We start from the raw sequence: 21,366 nt of genomic DNA, 5'->3' as shown, positions 1-21,366 counted from the left end.
CCCTGCCCAGAGCTCTTCCTGGTAGCCAGAGAACTGACCAACTCCCCAGTCCCACCCTCCTGCTGGGATTCTCATTATTTATTTATTTATATGTATTTTTTGAGATGGAATCTTGCTCTGTCACCAGGCTGGAGTGCAGTGGTGCAATCTTGGCTCACTGCAACCTCCGCCTCCTGGGTTTCAGCGATTCTCCTGCCTCAGCGTCCCCAGTAGCTAGGATTACAGGCCCACGCCACCACGCCTGGCTAATACTTGTATTTTTAGTAGAGACAGGGTTTCACCAAGTTGGCCAGGATGGCCTCGATTTCCTGATCTCGTAATCCGCCCACCTCAGCCTCCCAAAGTGCTGGGATTACAGGTGTGAGCCACCGCGCCTGGCCTTCCTGCTGGCATTCTCCAAACACAGCCTGGGATAACCATAAACCCTCAAAAATCTATCCCTGGAAAATCTTCACAATATATTAAGAGCACCTCCAACACTCCTTACAGAGTTCCCCTGTCATGCTTTTTAACACTGTGTTTGTCTTTTTAATTCAAATTGTACTTGCATATATGTCAAAGAGTCAAATGAAGCTTGTTTTCAAAAACACTTTTCTGCTCCTCCCTGCTCCCAATTTCCAGCTCCTTCAAAGGCACCACTTTCAACACTTCTGGCCACCTCTTTGGTTATATACTTCCAGAATTCTAAATTATACTTTTATATCTTGTTCCTACTTGACTTTTAACTTCTACTATTACTTACTGACTTCTCATTAAGGAAGATGAGAATTTATCTCTTTTTACCATCCCTTCACCAAATGCACACACATGCACAAACACACACATATACACAGATACTTCCTAACCCTCAACCTCACAGTACAACTTTACCACAATTTTTGATAAATCAGTATTCAACACTGATGCTATGATGATGATGTAAATGCTGTTCACTGCCATAGTTACTGTGATTATTTTCTTCTCTTCAGCATAATTTTTGGTGTATGGAATAAGTCATTACATTTTTACTGTTTAATTTTTTTTCTTTTTTCGAAACTGAGTCTCACTGTGTCTCCCAGGCTGGAGTGCAATGGCACGATCTTGGCTCACTGCAACCTCCACCTCCTGGGTTCAAGCGATTCTCGTGCCTCAGCAACCCGAGTGAGTAGCTGGGATTACAGGTGCCCACCACCATGCCCCGCTAATTTTTGTATTTTTAGTAGAGATAGGGTTTCACCATGTTAGTCAGGCTGGTCTCGAACTCCTGACCTCAGGTGATCCACCCGCTTCGGCCTCCCAAAATTCTGGGATATAGGTGTGAGCCACCGTGCCCAGCCAGAGAAGGCATCTCCACCCAAATTCTGGCCACTTGTTTAATTTTCTATAAACATGTCACTAATTCATCCCCAAATCCACTTCCCTGTTTACATAAATCTCCTCTTATGTGTTAAACTCATCAGGCAAGCCAGGCACAGTGGCTCATGCCTATAGTCCCAGCAATTTGGGAGGCCAAGGCAGGGAGATTGCTTGAGACCATGGATTTGTGACTAGCCTGAGCAACATAGTGAGATCCCGTCTTTACCAAAAAAAAAAAAAAAAAAAAAAAAAAGGCAGAAAAATTAGCTAGGCATGGTGGTGCATGCCTGTAGTCCCAGCTACTCAGAAGGCTGAAGTGGGAGATCCCTTGAGCTGCGAAACGGAGGTTGTGATGAGCGCAGATCTCGCCACTGCACTCCAGCCTAGGGGACAGAGTGAGACCCTGTCTAAAAAAAAAAACTCAACAGGCACATGAACAATGTGTCTTCCCAGAACTTCCGGTTGCCACCCCCAGAAGTAATTCTCAAACTTTAGTGTGGCATTATTATTATTATAAATCCAATTCTTGGAATTTTCATTAGGAAAACTGTGAAAATATTTTCAATTCTCTGAAATAATTTACCAAGTAGATCAGCAGATAGGTATTCAAATTTCCACCAGAGCATAAAACAGAAATCATTATGCACAATTATTTGTCAGTTAAAAATAAAATTTAAACATTATACTAAAAAAAAATTTTGCTACTGCAATCTGTTATGTGAATACAATAACTGTAGAAATACAACTTTAGGGCTGGGTGCAGTGGCTCACACCTGTAATCCCAGTACTTTGGGAGGCCAAGGCGGACGGATCACCTGAGGTCAGAAGTTCAAGACCAGCCTGGCCAATATGGTGAAACCCCATCTCTACAAAAACACAAAAAAATTAGCCAGGCATGGTGGCTTGCTTCTGTAATCCCAGATACTCGGGAGGCTGAGGCGGAAGAATCGCTTGAACCTGGGAGGTAGAGGTTGCGGTGAGCCGAGATGGCGCCACTGCACTCTAGTCTGGGCAACAGAGCAAGACACCATCTCAAAAAACAAACAAAAAAACAACTTTAGGGTCAGGTTTGGTGGCTCATGCCTATAATCCTAGCACTTTGGATCACCTGAGCCCAGGAGTTCGAGACCAGCCTGGGCAACATGGCAAAACCCTATCTCTACAAAAAATACAAAAATTAGCTGGGTGTGATAGCACATGCCTGTAGTCCCAGCTACTCTGGTGGCTGAGGTGGTGGGAGGATCGCTTGAGCCTGGAAGGTCAAGGCTGCAGTGAGCTGTGATCGTGCCACTGCGCTCCAGCCTGGGTGACTGAGCAAGACCCTGTCTCAAAAAAAAAAAAGAAAAGAAAGAAATGCAACTTTAATACATTTAGAATTGTTTGAATGCCTTACTTGTTCAAAGAACTTTCTGCATCATGTGTATTTTTTTAACCATTAAAGTACACCTGCTTTGAAAAATACATGCATCAGCTTGCATATATAATATTACAATGGAAATAAACACAATGTTTCTAAAGCTGAACTTTCTACCGCTCAAGGTAAAACAATAATTGTATTTTGAAAATTGTTTCCCAGATAAGAGGATTAAAAAGGTCTCTTGTAACTATTGGTAACAGTACAGAATTATCAAATTTGTAAACTGTGAATCACAAACTCAAGTTGTGCCCAGAGACATGGTGCAAGCAAGATATATTTTGAGACTTGAAACATCTGAAAATATATTTATTCTACTGTCACACTTAGGAATTTGGTGGCTGGGTGTGGTGGCTCATGCCTGTAATCCCAACACTTTGGGAGGCTGAAACAGGGGGGAAATCTATTGAGCCCAGGAGTTCGAGACCAGCCTGCGCTACATGGCAAGACCCCATCTCTACAAAAAATAATAAATTAGCCACGTGTGGTGGTACCTGCCTCTGGTCGCCACTACTCGGGAAGGTGAAGTGGGAGAATCACTTGAACTCGGGAGTTTGAGGCTGCCATGAGCTATGACTGTACCACTGGACTCCAACCTGGCAACAAAGTGAGACATTGTCTCAAAAAAATTTTTTTGCTTCTTGCTAAAGAATTTTAGGATAGACTGGCCAACATGGTGAAACCCCGTCTCTACTAAAAATAAAAAAAATTAGCTGGGCGTGATGGCACGCGCCTGTAGTCCCAGCTACTCAGGAAGCTGAGGCAGGAGAATCACTTGAACCTCGGAGGCGGAGGTTGCAGTGAGCCGAGATTGTGCCACTGCACTCCAGCCTGGCAACGCAGTGAGACTTCGTCTCAAAAAAAAAAAAAAAGGAATTTTAGGATAGAAAGAAAATCTGAATGCTGGCTGGGCATAGTGGCTAACACCTGTAATCCCAGCCCTTTCGGAGGTTCAGGCAGGCAGATCACCTGAGGTCAGGAGTTCAAGACCAACTTGGCCAACATGGCGAAACCCCATCTCTACTAAAAATACAAAAATGAGCCGGGCGTGGTGGTGTGCGCCTGTAATCCCAGCTACTAGAGAGAATGAGACAGGAGAATTGCTTGAACCCAGGAGACGGAGGTTGCAGTGAGCCAAGATGGCACCAATGCACTCCAGCCTGGGCGACAAAGTGAGACTCTGTCTCAAAAAAATAAAAATAAATAAAAATAAGAAGATCTGAATGCTGTTGTTGTGGAGTCTGAGATCATTATGATGCCCAGTTCTTTGTGACCTGTTTTCTTCTGTCTCCAATGCCCTGATGGTGTGGTTGGATCTCAAAGTGGTTTTATCTTCATCCATTGTGCTAGGTAATTGCTGAGCCCTTTCAATCTTAAAAATCATGTTCTTCAGACCTGGGAAACTGTCTTGAATTATTTCTTTAAAGACCTTTCTTCTTCATTTTCTCTGCCTTTTCTTTCTGCAACACCCATTTGGATATTTAACTTCTTGGATTCAGCGTCTGACTTTCTTATCTTTTCTCCATCTTCCATCTCTTTTGTCTTTGTGCTCAACTTTTAAGGAAGTTTTCTTCACAACTTCATCTTCTACTCTTCTATTTTTTTAATTTTCCATTTCTGCTGTATCTTTAATTTCCAAGAGCTTTAATAAAATTCCTTATTGATAATATTCTTATACATTCAATATAGCAGCATAATTTCTCTGAGATTAATTATAGTTCTTGAAATGTCTTCTCCCCACACAGTTTCTGTCTCCTCTAGGTTTCTTTTCCTTCCCTTCTTTTTCTTGTCTTCTCTTTTTCAGCTGAGGCTTTATTTAGAGTCTGCTCACCCTTGCCTGTCCACTCCCTCCTGAAGGGCAGCTCTGTGGGTGTCGCTGTGGTCACCTGGAGCTTCGTGTTAAGGTGGTCAGGCTGTTCTTTTGTATTAGGGAACCTCAATAGTTTAGGTTTTCTCTCGGGCTGGGCAGATTCTCCACAAATGACTTCCAATTGCACATATGGAGCTATAAGCCTGGCTGACAGTATTCTGGGGATGAGAAAGGGCAGCAGCTGGATGGGGGCCGGGGGATCACGGCAACACTGCAAATGCTCAAGGTGTAAACATCCACTCATCTCTCCACACCTCAGTGCCCTGACCCCACTCTCAGCTGTACCTTGAATCTCTTCCAGACCTGGTGTGTCACCCTTCGTGTGATTTTTTTTTTTTTTTTTTTTGAGACAAGGTCCCACTATCACCCAGGATGGAGTGCGGTGGCGCCATCTTGGCTCACTGCAACCTCTGCCAAACAGACTCAAGTGATCCCCTTGCCTGAGCCTACTGAGTAGCTGGGATGACAGGCATGCACCACCATGCCTGGCTAATTTTTGTATTTTTTGTAGAGACAGGGTTTCCCCATGTTGCCCAGGCTAATCTCCAACTCTTGACTCAAGGGATCTGCCCACCTCAGCCTCCCAAAGTGCTGGGAGTACAGGAGTGAGCCACCTTCCCTGGCTACCTGGTATGTCACCCTCTCCAGACATTTCTGCTCTACTCTCCTGCTGGGGCAAGGAAGGAGCAAGTTCCATATGAAATGGGAAAGCAGACTTGAGGGACTGCTGGCCAAGGTGTCATCTCTCAGATCCAGTTACTGCTCCTCCCTACGTATCCTAGGTTTGGAAATTTTGTTGTCTCCTCTCCTTTTTTTTCTGGAGACAGGGTCTGGCTCTGTCTCCCAGGCTGGAGTGCAGCCTCTATGTCCTGGACTGAAGTGATCTTCCCGTCTCAACCTCCCAGGTAGCTGGAACTATAGGCACACACCACTACACCTGGCTAATTTTTGTATTTTTTGTAGATATGGGGTTTTGCCACGTTGCCCAGGATGGTCTCAAACTCTTGGGCTCAAGCAATCCACCCACCTTGGCCTCCCAATGTGTTGGGATTAGGGGCATGAGCCACTGCACCCCGCCCTTGTAGTCTTGATGGGTTAATTTTTTTTTAAGAATATTCCTTTAATATCATTGTCAGAGCAGGCTATAAAGGAAGTAGGTGGGCATTCAAACTGTCCCCTTTGCACTAGAAGCCCATGTCCCTGTCCTCCTGTCTCCCTTATGATGCTTTACTTTCAATCTTTGCTGTTTGTTGCCACGTGACATACTTGCTTGTTCTTTAAGATCATCTCCAGTGGAACATCAAGTCCACGAGAGCAGGGACTCTGTTTCGTACACTGTGTGTGCAGTGCCTAAGATAACACCCGACACTGATTAGACCTCACAGTACAGTCTGTAGAACAGAATATATTACGGCCAGGCACCGTAGCTCATGCCTGTAATCCCAGCACTTTGAGAGGCTGAGGCAGGTGGATCACTTGAGGTCAGGAGTTTGAGACCAGCCTGGCCAGGATGGTAAAGATGGAGAGTCAAGACCGCCTCACTACACTCCAGCCTGGGTGACAGAGCAAGATTCCATCTCAAAAAAAAAAAAAATCTGAAAGGACATACTCTGAGATGTTAAGAGAGATCAATCCTGGATGATGGAGTTATATATATTTACATATCACTTGTGTAACAAATACGTTAAAAGGAAGCTACCCCTTAAAACTGAGCCCCAGAGATGTTGAGTAATTTGCCCAAGGACACACAGCTATTAATAGTGGCAGAGCTGAGATCTGAACCCAGGCAGTCTGGTTCCTCTATGCAATACTCCCGTATCCCAAAGGCCCAACCTCTTTCGGGCCGTTCCTAAGATACCTGTGCTGGGGCCATGTTTTCCAAAAGCAGCCCTATCAGATAGGAGAAACATGACTAGTTCCAATTCTTCCTAGAGACACGTAAACAGCTGTCAGCGAAACCAGAGGGCAAAATGAGGTGCCAGAGCAAGTGAGGTCCAGACAGGGGGTGTGGTCAGACATGCAGAGATGACACTGCTCATGCTCTGCTTGTGCCCTCCAAGATGCTTCCTGGGGAGCTCAGGGAAGGAGAGTCCACTCCCCTGAGCTCTGGAGAGCCGTGTGAGGACAGCCTTACCAGGGGATACTGTGGCCAAATGCTGCGGGACAGCAGGTTCTGGGGGGAGCACAAAGGGACGGAAGAGGACCTTGCTTCCAGACTGGCTCACAACTAGAAACAATAGCTGTTTTGGCCTACATTTGTGGTACCATCCTGTCCCCTACCACCTCCCCTACCAAGTATAGCAGTGTTAGATTATGGGGTGGGAGGCATGAAGGGGGAAGTCCCAGAAGAGGGGCCTGGTGGAGTTCAGGGCAGCAGCTCTTCATCTACAGGATGTTCTAGCGGCGAGAATGATGATAGTGATGCCTCCAGCTGAAAAGCGCCCCTCTAGGCATATGTTCCTTCTCTCTGCAACTCAGATGAGCAGGCTGATGTGCCCCGGACTAACACAGCTCTGACTTGTCCATCAAGACCCTGAGGATCTGCTGCAAGCCCTTCCCTAATATATAAAGCCACCCTTTGTCCCCCGTCTAGACACAAAAGCCCAACTGCTCTCAGAGGTGGGAGGCAGGGCTATCTAGAGGAAAGTTAAGAGCAGCTGCCTCTCTGCTCCCTGCCAAAGCTAGCTTAGCCAAATCCCCAGGAAAATGCTGCTGCACATGAAACATGAAAACACAAACCACAGACAGTCTGCTCTCCTTCCCATACACATGTTCAAACAAGACTGCTTTCCAGCCGTTGCTGATGGCTTCTACAGGATGAGCTCATCTCTATGGCTCAGTCTGTGGCTTTTGCTTCCCCTTTGCTCAGAGGAGCCAGCTTAACTTATTTAACCCAGATGTGCAGGCCCAGGAGCACTGAGAAGAAGCAACAGCAATGCATGATCTGAGTCGAAGCCCACCCGCCATGTCCTCTCCACAAGAGCCAGGCAGAGCCAGCCAGGGATGGGTCAGATAACCGGACTTCGCAAGGCATGCCAGAGAAAGCCTGAAAGAACGAGAGGTTGGTGGGAGGCTCTCCTGGATCTGCTTTCTCTTTCCTCCTCTGTGGGATGTCCCCTGGCTAGGCGACACTCTCCTCAGCCCTGGCTGCATGGTAACGGGGAGACCAGGCCAGAGGGTGGAGGGAAGGCTGGCTGCCGTGGATCTTAAGTCATCCTCTGGTCCCAGGCCAAGCAAGGCAGGGTGTTCTCTGTCCTACATTACAGAAATACTGAAAGTGCTCAAGTGAAGCCCGAAGAGACCTCCACATCAAGGATAAACACGGCTGAAGGGTGTGGTCAGGATCCTACTGGAAACTTCAACCACTCCACAGCAAGCCTCTAACCACTAATTACCTGTCTCTAGGAAAGCACAGAGCTGCTATTAGAGACAGAGGAGAGGCAGACGCTGACTTTAGCAAGACTCTGGATCTGACAGGCTTCTTGTACAAACCCTCAGCTCCTTCCCTCCCTCTCGCTAGTCCTCTGAAGTCCAGAAAGCAGAGGGGGTAGGGAGGCAACAGGACCGGATGGCAAAACTCCAGGGTCTCCTGGCCCACAAGCAAATTTGGTAACTCCAAATGCAGCCCTGGGGTGGCAGGAGAGGCCCTCAGTTACAATGGATAGAGAGTGGGAAACGCGACTTCAGGATGGCTGTGGGGCTAATGGCACTCTGCAAAGCTCCGTGTGAACAGGAAGAGCAAGAGCTAATGTGCAATGTGTCAGGGAGCTATGAAGTGACAGGCTTGGCCTTAGAGCCGCGAGCCCCCCCACTTCTCCACACACAGAAAGAAACTATGCTGGGGTTGAGCAGACCAGACCACAATAAAAGCTGTAGGATGAACACTCCAAAATATGGCCTCTCTCAACTTCCTGCCTGAAGGCATGTCTTTAATTCACTCTGAAAGGGGCACGGGTACCAAGTCTCAATGAATGTCACTGGACATGCCACACTGTGCTGCACTGTGAAATATGAGTGAACTCATGTGAATCAGCAGCCATTGAAAGAAACCAGCAGCCTGAATAAGGATGACCAAGATAAACAACCAGATCCCAGAGGAAATAAAATAATTTGAGGGTCAGGAGATAATTTTAAAAATAATTCTAATTAGTGTGCCAGAGAGATTCAACACAATTTGGCCTCAATAAAAAAAAAAAAAGAGCAAAATGCTATGAGAATGAAATAATCAGAGAACCAGAGAGAGGAGAATTTAAAATATGACTGTCAAATTAACACCTTCACTAGAAGGTCTAGAAGACAAAATGCAGACAATCTACCAGACTATAAGAAAGAGGCCGGGAGGCCGGGTGCAGTGGCTCACGCCTGTAATCCCAGCACTTTGGGAGGCCGAGGAGGGTGGATCACGAGGTCAGGAGATCGAGACCATCCTGGCTAACATGGTGAAACCCCGTCTCTACTAAAAAATACAAAAAATTAACTGGGCGTGGTGGCACGCGCCTGTAGTCCCAGCTACTTGGGAGGCTGAGGCAGGAGAATGGCATGAACCTGGGAGGCGGAGCTTGCAGTGAGCTGAGATCGCGCCACTGCACTCCAGCCTGGGTGACAGAGCGAGACTCCATCTCAAAAAAAAAAAAAAAAAAAGAGGCCGGGCATGGTGGGTCACACCTGTAATCCCAGCACTTTGGCAGGCTGAGGTGGGCAGATCACCTGAGGTCAGGAGTTCAAGACCAGCCTGGCCAACAAGGTGAAACCCTGTCTCTACTAAAAATACAAAAAATTAGCTGGGCGCGGTGGCGGGTGTCTGTAATCCCAGCTACTTGGGAGCTGAGGCAGGAGAATGGCTTGAACCCGGGAGGCGGAGGTTGCAGTCAGCTGAGATCACGACGCCACCGCACTACAGCCTGAGCGACAGAGCGAGACTCCATCTCAAGAAAAACATGAAAAAAAAAAAATGTACTTCAGCTAATCAAGAGAGTAAAACAAGAAAGAAACAGACGTAGAATACAGAAAACATCTAACTCACAGAAGTTGCAAAAGGAAGTCTCAGATTGAGACCTGAACAACTTGCTTAAAGAATCACCTGTCCAGATTGGAGAAGCAGGAAAGAGCTTTCTGGAAACAATGTTACCAGCAAGGAAGGAAATATGATGTAATACAAGGGTGTCCAATCTTTTGGCTTCCCTGGGTCACACTGGAAGAAGAACTGTCTTGGGCCTTACATGAAATATACTAACACTAACAATAACTGATGAGCTGAAAAAAAAAAAAAGAAATCACGGAAAAAATCTCATGTTTTAAGAAAGTTTATACATTTGTGTCGGGCCGCATTCAAAGCTGTCCTGGGCTGCGGGTTGGACAAGCTTGATGTAATGGATTATCACACTGGATAATTTCAAGAGCAGAGTAAAGGTACATTATTCCTTTAACCACAATGAAAAAAGAGGCAACTAAAAACTCCATGAAAAAGTAAAAGCTAATAAAACAGTGGTTCAAATATGAAACAAACTAAAAAGCAGCATGATTTGAAGGACTGTTGGAATGCAAGAAAAGAGAATCCACTCGACCTGGACATCAAAAGCACTCTCCAGCCAGGCGTGGTGACTCACATCTGTAATCCCAGCACTTTGAAAGGGTGAGGTGGGCAGATCACTTGAGGTCAGGAGTTTGAGATAGCCTGGCCAACATGATGAAACCCTGTCTCTACTAAAAATACAAAAATTGGCCTGGTGTGGTGGCAGGCACCCGTAATCCCAGCTACTCGGGAGGCTGAGGCAGGAGAATCGCTTCAACCCGGGAGGTGGAGGTTGCAATGAGCTGAGAGGTACCACTGTATTCCAGTCTGGACAACAGACTGAGACTGTCTCAAAGAGAAAATAAAGCAATCTCCTTTGAGTGGCATGGAGATGATACACTGGGCAGGTGGAGGAAAAACTAGAAACTTAGCACTCTGGTTGAGCATGCATATTAATATGGCCTCAATCATGTAAATACTCCTTAATGGTTTTACTGGTTTTCTTTTCTCTTTTTATTTTTTTTTAAGAGACAGGGTTTTGCTCTGCCACCCAGGTTGGAGTGCAGCGGCATAATCATAGTTCACTGCAGCCTTGACCTCCTGAGCTCAAGCAATCCTCCAACTTCAGCCTCCTGAGTAGCTGGAACTACAGGCACATACCACCACACCCATCTAATTTTTGTATTTTTAGTAGAGAAAGGGTTTCACCATGTTGGCCAGGCTGGTCTCGAACTCCTGACCTCAAATGATCCACCTGCCTCGGCCTCCCAAAGTGCTGGAATTACAGGCATGAGCTACTGCACCCAGCCCAGAAATATTCTTTTTATTTTTTTTAATTCTTATTTTAGGTTAAAGGGTACATGTACAGCTTTGTTTACAGGTAAATTGTCTCGCAGGGGTTTGGCATAGAGACTATTTCATCACCCAGGTAATAAGCATAATACCTGATAGGGAGTTTTTTGATCCTCTTACTCCTCCAACCCTCCACCCTCAAGTGGGCATTTAGGTTGATTCCATGTCTTTGCTATCATGAATAGCTCTACAATGAACATATGTGTGCATGTGTCTTTACGGTAGAGCAATTTTTTTAAATTTTTTTATTTTTTTATTTCAATAGGTTTTTGGGGAACAGGTAGGAACTTACGTGAATAAGTTCTTTAGTGGTGATTTCTGAGATTTTGATGCACACATCACCTGAGCAGTGTACATTGTACCTAATGTATAACCTTTTATCCCTCACCACTCCCCACCCTTTCCTCTAAGTCCCATGTATCATTCTTATGCCTTTTCATCCTGATAGCTTAGCTCCCACATATGAGTGAGAACATACAATGTTTGGTTTTCCATTACTGAGTTATTTCACTTAGAATAATAGTCTCCAATTCCATCCAGGTTGCTGCAAATGCCATTATTTCATTCCTTTTTATGGCTGAGTAGTATTCCATGGTATGATATATACCACATTTTCTTTATCCACTTGTTGATTGATGGACATTTGGGTGGGTTCCATATTTTTGCAATCGCAAGTTGTGCTGCTATAAACATGTATGTGCAAATATCTTTTTCATATAATGACTTATTTTCCTCTGGGTAGATACCTAGTAGTGGGATTGCCGGATCAAATGGTAGATCTACTTTTAGTTCTTTAAGGAATTTCCACACTGTTTCCCGTAATGGTTGTACTACTTTCCATTCTCACCAACAGTGTAGAAGTGTTCCCTTTTCACTGCATCCACACCAACATCTAGACTGAATAAAGAAATGTGGTACATATACACCATGGAATACTATACAGCCATAAGAAAGAGTGAGATCATGTCGTTTGCTGCAACATGGATGGAGCTGGAGGCCATTATCCTAAGCCAACTAAGGCAGGAACAGAAAACCAAATATGTGTGTTCTTACTTATACGTGGGAGCTAAACGTTGAGGACATACGGACACAAAGAAGAGAACAACAATCATTGGGGAGAAAAGCGGCTGGCCCAGCCATCCCCACACCCCAAAGAAGGGGAAGCCTGCAGAAATGAAAGTCCACAAATGCCTAAAACCCAGAAGTAGGAGGCTGAAACCAAATACCTTCACTTTGAGAACTGTGACTGAAAACCACACTTCAGAATGAGGATGCAGCCCTTGAAATTCATGGGACGATCTTTCTAGTCCATCTAAGGACCTGCCAATTTGTCTTACCTTTCAACTGGGAAATACATTATACATATAAAACACAGGTGTGTATGTATATAAAATATGTACCACTTAAAAACCTAAGTAAAATAAAAAGAATACATATGCTCAGAACACACAATCCAAGAAACAGAATATAACCAGAAATTTTAACATTCTCTCTGTCCTGCCACACCCCGACCAAGGATAATCACCTCCCTGATTTGGGGGTTAATCATTTCCTTTTTGTCCTCATAGTCTTATTACACATGTATGCATCCCTAGGCAGTATATTGTTCAGTTCTGCTTGTTTTTCAACTTTGTACCATTTTAATCGCACCATGTGTATTCTGTGTCATGCTTTTCTTGCCCTACATGGTGAGATTTATCCTTCATTGATACAGGCAGCTGTAGTTCATTTTCACTGCTGTAGCTAGGCACTGTAGGACTATACCTCGGTTTATCTACCTACTCTACTGTTATTTGATTGTTTCTAGTTTGTTCTATCATTAACAATGCTACCAAGCAAACTCTTCTGAGAATGACTTGTCTTTTAAAATGCTCCTTCCAAACAAGTCCTCACCCCTCCCTCAGGAGGTCCGGGTTTTGCCTCTGCAAATAGCACAGGGCGGAAAACCCTGGCCTGTGGCTACAGTACCGGGAGTTCCCTGCAACCAGAGAAACGATTCCCAGGATCCCACCCCTCTGCTCCCCGCCCTGGCCTCACTCACAAATGCCTGTCTCCTCTTCTGAACTTGAGATTTCACCTCCTGGTTTACACGGGGAAACAATTGGCCTTTGAAGAGGCAGCCTGGATTTCTGAGCCACACCTCTCTCCCTGCTATCTCCCCCTTCTTCCCCAGGTAAAGGAGAACAGACCGCAATAAAGGGCTCCATTGACAGGCCGCAGGGTGACAGCTATGGCAGAAAGGAGATGCAGGCCCTGCCCAGCCTGGAGGGTCAGAGGAAGCTCTCAGGTGCCAGCCTTCGGGCCATTAGCTCCTCACATGTGCCACACAGCAACAGGAAGAAGAAAGGAAACCTACCCATGGGCAGAGCCAGTCACTTTTCCATGTTATATATATTATTCCATTTAAAGCTCACATAAATTGAAAGGTGGAAAAAAATAAGAGGCAACACCATAATTACACTTATTGGATACAGACCATATGACAGCTACTGTGCCACGTGCTCTATACACCTTCTCTTAATGGGTCCTAATCCAGGACAGTGGCCATGAAGTCAATTTAGGGGATTAAGACCAGCATTTTAAAAAAGGAAACCAGCTGGGCGTGGTGGCTCACTCCTGTAATCCCAGCACTCTGAGCAGCCAAAGCGGGCGGATCACCCGAGATCAGGAGTTTGAGACCAGCCTGGCCAACGTGGTGAAAACCCATCTCTATTAAAAATACAAAAAAATTAGCTGGGTGTGGTGGCGGGTGCCTGTAGTCCCAGCTACTCAGGAGGCTGAGGCAGGAGAATGGCTTGAACCCGGGAGGTGGAGGTTGCAGTGAGCCGAGATCGCACCACTGCACTCCAGCCTGGGTGACAGAGAGAGATTCTGCCCCAAAAATAAATAAATAATTTTAAAAATTAAAAAATAAAAAAGGAAACCAATAAGGCTGAAACTAGATAGGAAATACTACAGAGTATGCCATAGCGGATGGGTAAGCATTGTTTAAAGTTTCACTTCTGGCCAGATGCGGTGGCTCACGCCTGTACTCTCAGCACTCTGGGAGGCCGAGGCAGGTGGATCACCTGAGGTCAGGAGTCCGAGACTAGCCTGGCCAATGTGGTGAAACCCCATCTCTACTAAAAACACAAAAATTAGCCAGGCATGGTGGAGGATGCCTGTAATCCCAGCTACTCGGGAGGCTGAGGCTGGAGAATCACTCGAACCCGGGAGGCAGGGGTTGCAGTAAGCCAATATCGCGCCATTGCACTCTAGCCTGGATGACAAGAGCAAAACTCCGTCTCAAAAACAAACTAACTAACTAACTCAATAAATAAAGTTTCATTTCTATTCATGTCTATTAGTCCATGTGTAATAGACCATAATGTGAAACATATCTCTCACTGCGGGCAGTGGCTAAAGTTGTGAAAACTTCCTTATGTGTTTCATAACCTACCCACTGAGGTAAGTTCAGTTTCTAACCTAATTTAACAGAAAATAACTGAAGCTACTTCCCCAACTTCATCTGTAGTACACACCCCTGCCACCATCCCACCCCATCACTCCTGACATAACAGCCTCATTTCTGTTCTTCTTTCCATCCCCAGAACACGTGCTATTCCTCAGCCCAGAGTGTTCTCCCCTCTTTGCACAGCTGGCTTCTTCCCATCTTTCAGGCCTCAGCCTGGGTGTCAGCTCCACTGCAGAGAGCCCTCCTAGAGCCCTGGTCTGAGTAGGCTCTCTCCTGCTCATGGCCACTCAGACATCTGCTTCCTTGTTTGCTGTCTGCCTTCCCCACTAGAACTGCAAAGACAGGGAGACATCGGTTATCTTCACCAACACAGACCTTGCTTCTACTAGAGTAGCTGGCACATAGCAGACACTTCACATTTGTTAAATGAATAAAGAAATGTCCCAGGTCCTCATGGTTAGCAAATGGCAAAGCCAGGATTCGCACCCAGGTCTGCCTGACGTGAGGCTTGTTCTCAGCACTGGCACTGTGCTAAAACTCAGAAACAGCATGTTGCTGCCCCAGTGCATGCCATGAGAAAGCATGAGTGCCCCAGCATGACTAACTCCTAAAGCCCATGCTCTCTCCATTATGTCGTTGGGATGGACATTGCAGCTGGAAGGATGAGTGGCTCACACGAGCAGCCTCTTGCAGTCAGCTGAGAACGTGGAGGGGATAAACGAATGAGGAGACTGCAAAACCTCCAGACTTGAAGAGGAAAAGAAAGTTGCCAGTGACCAGAGGAATACCAGAAAAAAATCAGCTGAGCCCATGATTTCTACTGTGGCCAGCTCAGAAATGAGGGGTGGGGGCTCCCCTAGGCAAACAGTATTCTAGGAAGGAGGTCTAAAGAAGCAGCCAGAGACAGCAGAAAAACTCAAAGGCACAACCATGCAGGGGGACAGAGGGCTGAGGCTGCAGGAACTGCACATTCAGGGCCCTCGGGGTGGGCAGCATTGAGTTGACTCCAAGGCTGGGACTGGAGAGGGAGGTCCCAGGCTCTGACTTAGCTGGCCTTCCCACAGAGGGGACAGCTGGAGTGGGCCACAGGACTATTTTGGCAATGCTGCCACCTTGTGGCTGTGGAATGCCCAGCCCACAGGAAAACAAATCTACACATAGGTCAGTTTGTGGGTTCATTCTTCACTTATTGAAAGCACCTAATATGGGCGACATGGCTCCAACCTTCGAGGACCTCACCCCTTATATCCAGGCAGTGACCAAACTCTCCTCTTTTCACCACTATGTCCCCACCCCTGACCCCAAACAAGACTGTGAGGGCAAGGATGGTATCTTACTCATCTCTGAAGCTACGGTACGCGGCATAGGGCCTGGCACATGAGACTAATAACAGCAGCTACTACTTAGTATTGTGCTCAGTGCTTTTAAGTACATTAGCGCATCGGATTCTTGAATTGCACCTATGAGACCTCCAAATGGAGATGTCAAGGAGGGCTTTATTTCAATATGAGCCCGGAGTTCTTGGAGAGGTCAAGGATGGAGAAATAAAGGTGGGCGTCGCCGGCATACAGATGGTGTTTTTTTAAAGACCAGTGCCTCTCAAAGTTTTACGTGCATATGGCTCACCAGGGAGTTGTGCTAAAATGCAGACTCCAGTGATTCTGTAGTCTGAAATGGGGAGGAGATTCTGTTTTACCAGACTCCCAGGTGGTGCGAATACTGCTGGTTCACAAACCACACTTTGAGTGGTAAAAATCTGGAACAGAGGTTAACAAACTATGGCCAGCTGGACCTCTATTTGTACAATCAGCAAACCAAGAGTGATATTTTCATTTTCACAGGGGTTGAGAAAAAGAAGAAGGAAGGAGAAGGCAGAAAAGGCAGAAGAAGAAGGGGTTGGGAAGGAAGATGGGAGGAAAAGAAGAAGAGGAGACAGAGACCATTTGTGCCTCACAAGGCCTAAAATATTGACTCTTTGGTTTTTGACAGAAAAAGTTTGACAATCCTGACCTCAAATATCACCCAGGGAAAAGCTATGCAGCTAAACAAGGGAGCAACCGGGCCCTGAAGCAAACCGCTGCGACTTCCAAATCCCCATCCCTAGTTTTGGTAGGAAAAGCAGGAGCGAAAGGCACCGCATGTACAGTCGGCCCTCCGTATTGTGGGTTCCATATCTGTGGATTCAACCAAATGAAGAATAAAAATACTTAAAAAAAGAAGGACATTGCGTCTGTATTGAATACGTACAGACTTTTCTTGTCATTATTACCTAAAAAACATGGTATAATAACTATTTACATAGCATTTACATTGTAGCAGGCAGGAGATGTGCTTAGGGTACATGCAAATACTACACCATTTTATATCAGGGACTTGAGCATCCACAGATTTTAGTATCCAAGGAGAGTCCTGGAACCAATCCCCAGTGGATACTGAGGGATGACTTATATACCAAGAAGGCAGGAAGGCCAGGGGCAGCGGCTCATGCCTGTAACTGTAATCCCAGCACTTTGGATCACCTGAGATCAGGAGTTCGAGACCAGCCTGGCCAACATGGTGAAACCCCATCTCTATTAAAAATACAAAAATTAGCTGGGCGTGGTGGTGTGTGCCTGTAAATCCCAGCTACTCGGGAGGCTGAGGCAGGAAAACCACTTGAACCTGGGAGGCGGAGGTTGCAGTGAGCCAAGAACGTGCCATTGCACTCCAGTCTGGGTGACAAGAGCAAAACTCCATCTCAAAAAAAAAAAAAAAAAGGGGCAGGAAAAGAAAAGATGAACTAACATCTGAGGCTCCCAGGTGGGTGGGGGTGGCCCTGGAGACACCTGGGGTTCTGAGTGGGAACAAGGACTTGTGGTGGGCCAATAACCCACTGCCTCTTTCAGTGCTTATCTTGGGAAAAACAATAGAAACAGAAAGGGCGAGCAGGGACTACCTCCACTTGTGTGCAATGCCACAGAAGGACTGGGAAAATAAAAAGGACAGCCTGTGAATTCCACAGGGTTCATCTGTCGGGCAGAACCTTCTGAATTTTGGCCAAGGGTGGGGAGGGTGGGTAGAGGGATTTCGGAAGGTGAGGGAAAGGGTGTGGCAGTAAAATAATAGCCCCTAGAGCCTGCAATGCAGGGGGCCACCCCAAGTTGTGTTTGGCCACGGTGCCTTCTGTCATTCTTCTGCCGCCCTGTGCTGAGGAATACATTTGCTTAAACGTCACTGCCTGAGAAAGGAAATACAGCTGTCCATTTCCATCAACTTGCACCAATTAATCTGGCTTTTGCTCAATGGAAGACAAGGCTGTTTTGCATTAAGTCATGAAAGGTTTGCTTGTCTCACCATGAAGTGTTCACATATTTCCAAAGGACAACAATAGCACCCTTTCATGGAGGGCAGAAAAGAATATCTATCAAAAGACTGTGGGGCAAGATATCTGCAAAGCCAGACCGCTCTTAAATGCTGGAGGGCAAACAAGAAGACAGAAGGATATGACAAAGTCACCATGTGCTGTAAAACAAATTCCAGAATTTGCTGGTTGGAAGGAATCTTTAAGGTCAACCAGTCTCACTCATGTTTCCAACAAAGCTGCCTACAAAATCTAACCATCTTGAGAAAAAATGCACATGTCACACCTGGCTTTTGGCATGGAATATTCTTTTTAATAAATTAAGAAATGCTTGCAATGAAAAACAAATCTCTGCCTTTTAACCCACGAGTTCTTGCCCTTCTCTCCCATCCCCCTTGATCTCACTAGTTGTCTCTCCCACCAGAAAGTAGGTTCCTTCAGGGAAGTGACTGATTTTTGCAGCACCAGACACACTGGCCGGCCCACAGAATGAGTATGGTGAGCAAGACCCCAGTCTACTGAAAAACCTTAGCTTTCCCGCCACCTACTGGCTGTGTGATTTTGGACAAGTTATTTAACCTTTCAAAAACCGGTTTCCTCATTCGTAAAGTCCTCCTTACAAGAGGGCTGTTTTGAGGATTAACTGTGTTAATACATGTAGATACAATAGTAAGGATTTCCTAAGTGTTGTTGACAATTTTTATCATTCAATTAGTAGATTAATCTATTATTCTGGCTGGGCACGGTGGCTCACACCTGTAATCCCAGCACTTTGGGAGGCCAAGACGGGTGGATCACGAGGTCAGGAGTTCAAGACCAGCCTGGCCATGATGGAAACCCTGACTCTACTAAAAATACAAAAATTAGCCAGGCGTGGTGGTGGGCGCCTGTAATCCCAGCTGCTCGGGAGGCTGAGGCAGGAGAATTGCTTGAACCTGTGAGGCGGAGGTTGCAGCGAGCCGAGATCGCGCCACTGCACTCTAGCCTGGGCAACAGAGCAAGACTCCATCTCAAAAAATATATATATATTATTCTATCCCATGAATCACACTCTCTCCCTAAAACATACTACACTACAACAAGGTTTCTCTTTTTTTTTTTTTTTTTTGAGATAGGGTTTTGTTCCATCACCCAGGCTGGAGTACAGTGGCACAATCTCAGCTCATTGTAACCTCTGCCTCCTGGGTTCAAGCGAGTCTCCCACCTCAGCCTCCCAAGTAGCCAGGATTACAGGTGAACGCCACCATGCCCAGCTAAATTTTGTATTTTTAGTAGAGATGAGGTTTCACCATGTTGGCCGAGAGTCTGGTCTTGAACTCCTGACCTCAGGTGATCTGCCCGCCGTGGCCTCCCAAAGTGCTGGGATTACAGGTGTGGGCCACCATGCCTGGCCAGGTTTCTGAGTTTCAGCACTATTGACATTACTTTGCTGTGGGAGCCTGTCCTGTACATTGTAAGGTGTTTAGCAGCATTCTTGATCTCCACCCACTAGATGCCAGAAGCAACACCCCACCACCACCCCCGATTCTGACAATCAAAAATGTCTTCACCGATGGCCAAATGTCCCCTAGGGAAGTAATCTCCCTATTGTACTAGAATATGCAAATCGGGTATAGAGAGTCTGGTCACCATACCACCTAATTTCCCACCATCCCATTCTCCCTCCATACAGCCACCCTGGCCACCTCTTGCTCACCATTCAGTTGTCTTGGAGGGAACAAGTGATAGGTGCTGTAGATATCATTGGAGAACTGCAACTGGAGCTCAGGGCTGCCCGTCAGGAGCTGAGCCACCTGTTCCACCTGAAATGGCGTCTTCTCCAGGATCACAACGGCATCCTCTCCATCCCCATCCCCAGAGGCCTCATTCACCTGTGGGCAGAGGCATCATCAGTGGGCTCAAGGGCAGAACCACGATGAGACTCTGGAGAGCAAGACAGAAGCTCCCAGGGCCTTTGAATTCCCAATACTTGGGATTTCCTTCCCTGAAGTCTTCCCTCTGGGGAAGTCTAGCCAATGGCACTCACATTTCACATTTCTTTTCTCAGAGAAGGCATCTTTTTTTTTTTGAGATGGAGTGTTGCTCTGTTGCCCGGATTGGAGTGCAATGGCGCGATCTTGGCTCACTGCAACCTCCACCTCCTGGGCTCAAACAATTCTCCCGCCACAGCCTCCTGAGTAGCTGGGATTACAGGCGCATGCCACCACATCTGGCTAATTTTTGTATTTTTAGTAGAGATGGGGTTTCACCATGTTGGCCAGGCTGGTCTTGAACTCCCGATCTCAAATGATATGCCTGCCTCAGCCTCCCAAAGTGCTGGGATTACAGGTGTGAGCCACCATGCCCAGCCAGAGAAGGCATCTCCACCCAAATCCTTGTGGCAGTTCTCACACCTTTCTTCCCCAGAATACAAGGCTTCTCAGTTGTCTTCCATTTTAGGCTTACAAGACCTCTGTCAAGTTCTCCCCATTTCAGAAGATGAAAAACAGACCTTGAGTGACTTGCCCAAGGTCACATGAACAGTCAGCATTGAAACAGAAACCAGAACCTAGGTCTCCCAAGTGACTCCTAGCTCGAAGGCTCTCATGACTAACACCTTCAACAGGTGCTGCACACTGAAGACAGCTGGGCTGAGAGAACCAGACAGAATCGCATACAAAAAAACAGAAAACAAGAAACAAAAACAAACAAACAAACAAACAAAAAACAACAAAAAACAAGGCCCAGCGCAGTCGCTCATGCCTATAATCCCAGCACTTTGGGAGGCAGAGGTGGGTGGATCACCTGAGGTCAGGAGTTCAAGACCAGCCTGGCCAACATGGTGAAACCCTGTCTCTACTAAAAATACGAAAATTAGCTGGGCATGGTGGCAGATGCCTGTAATCCCAGCTACTTGGGAGGCTGAGGCAGGAGAATCACTTGAATCCAGAAAGTGGAGGTTGCAGTGAGCCAAGATAGTGCCATTGCACTCCAGCCTGGACAAGAAGAGTGAAACTCCATCTCAAAAAAAAAAAAAAAAAAAAAAAAGGCGGGTGCGGTGGCTCACGCCTGTAATCCCAGCACTTTGGGAGGCAGAGGCAGGCGGATCACCTGAGGTCAGGAGTTCGAGACCAGCCTGGCCAACATGGTGAAACCCCCATCTCTACTAAAAATACAAAAATTAGCTGGGCATGGTGGCGGGGGCCTGTAATCCCAGCTATTGGGCAGGCTGAGGCAGGTAGAATAGCTTGAACTCGGGAGGCAGAGGTTGCAGTGAGCCGAGATCACATCACTGCACTCTAGCCTGGGTGACAGAGAGGAGAGACTCCGTCTCAAAAATAAATAAATAAATAAATAAAAATTTAAAAACCAGATACACACAGAGGCATGGAAGCCTAGGCCAAGGTTCCCTGATCCTCCCAAAGGTGAGAGTTCCTGCTAGTAGTTCTAGGGAACCCCCTTATCTGCCCTGGCTAGGCCTCCTCACTAGTTTCTGGGGAACCCCCATATCTGCTCTGGCTAGGCCTCCTCACTAGTTCCTGGAATGGTCTCCATCTCTCCTCAGCCCCTGCCAGATTGCTGAGCACGTTGGTATTGGAGCAAGCTGTGT

General features: G+C 46.4%; 1 protein-coding gene across 2 annotated transcripts in view, besides 3 other annotated features; it reads right to left on the bottom strand.

Annotated features, from left to right (window-relative positions):
• The window catches only part of DCPS (decapping enzyme, scavenger), a 45,946-nt gene that overhangs the window by 23,788 nt on the left and 792 nt on the right, over positions 1-21,366 (bottom strand). For both annotated transcript variants that reach the window (NM_001350236.2, NM_014026.6), the window contains exon 2: positions 19,474-19,648. In NM_001350236.2, the coding sequence (NP_001337165.1) occupies positions 19,474-19,648 (175 nt within the window). The remainder of the gene's footprint in view (positions 1-19,473; positions 19,649-21,366) is intronic.
• Positions 10,199-10,404: a silencer, noted in NCBI's record as "fragment chr11:126185709-126185914 (GRCh37/hg19 assembly coordinates)". NCBI's record gives its function as "represses an EF-1alpha promoter that drives an FKBP-Casp9 reporter gene in an ReSE screen in HepG2 liver carcinoma cells {active_cell/tissue: HepG2}" and the evidence as "EXISTENCE:reporter gene assay evidence [ECO:0000049][PMID:32094911]".
• Positions 14,731-14,800: an enhancer, noted in NCBI's record as "active region_5708". NCBI's record gives its function as "activates an Ori minimal core promoter by ATAC-STARR-seq in GM12878 lymphoblastoid cells {active_cell/tissue: GM12878}" and the evidence as "EXISTENCE:reporter gene assay evidence [ECO:0000049][PMID:35858748]".
• Positions 20,123-20,412: an enhancer, noted in NCBI's record as "active region_5707". NCBI's record gives its function as "activates an Ori minimal core promoter by ATAC-STARR-seq in GM12878 lymphoblastoid cells {active_cell/tissue: GM12878}" and the evidence as "EXISTENCE:reporter gene assay evidence [ECO:0000049][PMID:35858748]".

Source organism: Homo sapiens, chromosome 11, assembly GCF_000001405.40.
Source record: "Homo sapiens chromosome 11, GRCh38.p14 Primary Assembly".
Lineage (NCBI taxonomy): Eukaryota > Metazoa > Chordata > Mammalia > Primates > Hominidae > Homo > Homo sapiens.
This window is presented reverse-complemented; position numbering and strand designations above follow the sequence as displayed.